Source organism: Homo sapiens, chromosome 11 (assembly GCF_000001405.40).
Source record: "Homo sapiens chromosome 11, GRCh38.p14 Primary Assembly".
Classification (NCBI taxonomy): Eukaryota; Metazoa; Chordata; class Mammalia; order Primates; family Hominidae; genus Homo; species Homo sapiens.
The window spans coordinates 127,370,971-127,374,076 of NC_000011.10; the positions used below are offsets into that span (position 1 = coordinate 127,370,971).

Consider the following 3,106-nt stretch of genomic DNA (forward strand, 5'->3'; position numbering starts at 1 on the left):
ACCATTTGAAACGTAAAATGGAATCTTTTTCTAAGATGGAGTCACTTATGTTAAGGGTGCTCTATACACACCTCTTCCTACAATTTGCTTCCTTCCTTTCTCATCTCTCTTCTCCATTTCTGGGCTAGAGCTTGCTCTAAGCATGAGTTCTAGCAGCCAGGGTTGCTGTGGGGACAGTCGGGCTCCTGCCAGTGTGGGCTTGACATCCAGGGCTGTGGATGTCCAGGTTCTCAGCGAAGCTGTGTCAAGAAGCAAGGGAAGCTCTGAATAACAAGGTCCATGTGTAGGGAGATTCAGATCTGAGGTTAAAAATCTGTAGTACTGAATTGTCAAGATAGCTCAAAGAGGAGTCAGGGAAAGACCCTGGAAATATTCCAAAAGCCAGCGGTATCCAGGGCACAGGAGTCTTCATGGTGTGTCTGTGACTGAGCCTGCGAGGAGGATGGCTGTGAGGCATTTCCCACAGGAACAAGCTTCCAGACTCCTCGATGAGACATGGCGGTTATTCCCTATGCTCATGATTTTTATGATTTATGGTATAAGTGTAGCTTGAAGCTTATCTCATTACAGGATCTGGTACCATCGCAATACCTTTATTCAAAAATATCTTCCTCATTGCCACATCAATTTGGTGTCTCCTACACCATCCAAACTGCCCTTATAAGGTTACCAACATCCCCCGTGTTGACAAGTTAATGAGAGTTCTTAGCTCTTATCTCATCAGACACCTCAGTAGACTTTAACTTAATTAACACTAGCCTCACTCTTTTCTCTTAGTTCTTGGAACACTCTAGTGTCCTTCGTAGTTCTTGGAACACTTTAGTGTCCTTTTAAGTTTAGTTTAGTTTTTGCGGAAACTTTAGTTCACTGTAAGCAGATTGCATGGGAGGAGGGCTTATTCAATCTCTCCCCGAGGCTGAACCTTTCTTGTAGACTATGCATTATGATGGACAATGAAGTCACGCAGATTCATCATCTGCACAGCATACTCCTATTCACACCTACATCCCTAGAAATAACATTTTAAAAGGTAGCCAAAGGCACTTTCTCACTTTCTCATTTATCAACCGCTACTCAGCCCAGCGCCATCTGGGTTCTCCCTCTATGTCTTCTAAGAAACTTTGCTTGCCAGGTTCCTAATGACCAGCAACCTAAATCTAATGATTGCTTTCTCACCTTCATTTTATATGCCCTTGTTGTAGCATTTGAGATGACTAAAGTGAAGTTCTCACTCATGTTTTCTCTTCTAACACTACAATTCGTTAGTTTTCTTCCCACACGCTATCTTCTCAACTCACTCATTCAAGCACCTCCCAGCCCCAGTGACGATCCTTTGATATCACAAGGACCTTGGATCCAATGACCTGGCTGTGATCATCTATGTTTGTACCACCTGGACTGGTCCTCGTATTTCCTCATCTTTGCTTTCCTGTTTTCCATCTCCTTTTTACTTTCTGCTACATATTCTGTAAGAGATTCTCAATGTTGTCTTCGAAACTTCTCTTTAGTTTTTCTTTCCCAGTATATGATTTTTTTTAGAACGTCCAGGGCCTCCTTTTGGAGCTCCTAGTGTTTCTTTACTTGACGTCTGTTCCTGTTTCATGGTTGCAATTTATTCTTATTTAAAAGTATAGAGATAAGAGTTTTCTTCTCCTTGCAGAGTCACTGTTTTCTTTAAGCTGTGTCTGTTTATATTTGTTTTGATCTGTATTTTTCATAAGGTGAGCATATCTAATTAAAAAATCTGAAATAAGAATGCTCCCAAATCCGAAGCTTTTTGAGTGCTGACTTGATGCCACAAGCAGAAAATTCTACACCTGACCTCATGTGATGAGTCTCAGTCAAAATGTAGTCAAAACTTTGTTTCATGCACAAAATTATTAAAAATATTATATAAAATCACCTTCAGGCTATGTGTATAAAGTGCATATGAAACATAAATGAATTTCATGTTTAGACTTGGGTTTCATTCCCAAGTTACCTCATTGTGTATATGCAAATATTCCAAAGTCCAAAAGAATTTTGAAATCAAAAACATGTCTGTCCCAAGCATTTCAGATAAGGGTTGGTCAACCTGTATAAACTATCCTCAGGTGTTTGGTAGTCCTTAATTACCAGATCCTGTTTTTGAGTCATTGTTACAAAGCTCACTGGAAATTCTCATAGTGCAGCTGTGGGATGTAGACTTGGGGGAATCAGACTCAGACAGTTAGTGGGAAAACCTCTTGTGTCAATTTCTTTATGTCTTTCCTCTTGGCACAGTGAAATTCCCCAGAGAAAACTCTACTAGTCTCTTGCTTAGTGAGTGAAGAACTGATTCTCATCATTTATGGGGCTGAATAGAAAATAGGGCATGGGCTATCAGTTCCCAGTACCCATGCATGCACTTAAATCCCCTGTTTTTAGTGTACAGACTCGTGTCCTAACTGAACCTATTATCCACGAGTACAGAGCTGCTGTTTTATTCTCTCAAAATACAAGTCTCAGTTCTTTACCAGGGCGAAGGAAAGACTGTCAGCCTGCTAACCTCAGTTGGTGAGAGGATCTGATTACTGCTCAAATCAATTTCCAACCGATCCTCGTTAATTTAGCTCCTTTCCTTCAAACTGGCTTCTGTCATGCATGGTTTCCTCAATTATTGAGACTTTTGGAGGTTCTAGTACAAATTGTGTTTGCTGTTGGATATCTCTCCTGCTTGTTTGGAATTCAGTCTTCTCAAGCCTCAGAAATATTCATTGCCATCTGATATGCACTATCCAAAATTTCATTATTATTTACCCCTTCCTCATCTTTCCTATCTCTGGAGGGTTTTGCTTTTAAAATACATTTATAGTTATTTTCATGACATTTTAGGAGAAAAAAAGAAGTTGCTGTAGGTGCCCAATCTACTATCTTTACCTCATCTTCTTTGATTTTTATTCACCTGAATCAGTAGCTTAGCATTCAGAGCCACAAAACTTGTGAGACCCGTAATTTCTGAAGATATGTTTAGTTCTCATATTTGAATGAGAATATGGCTGGGGATAACACATTTTTCTTCCAAAATTTTTTTTCTTATTAATCTATGGATAATTTCCATTTTTTTTCTTGAAACAGGTGGTGGCAG

The 3,106-nt window shown here is 39.7% G+C and overlaps 1 annotated feature.

Annotated features, from left to right (window-relative positions):
* Positions 771-971: a silencer, noted in NCBI's record as "peak1506 fragment used in MPRA reporter construct". NCBI's record gives its function as "represses an SCP1 promoter by STARR-seq MPRAs in K562 erythroleukemia cells {active_cell/tissue: K562}" and the evidence as "EXISTENCE:reporter gene assay evidence [ECO:0000049][PMID:32103011]".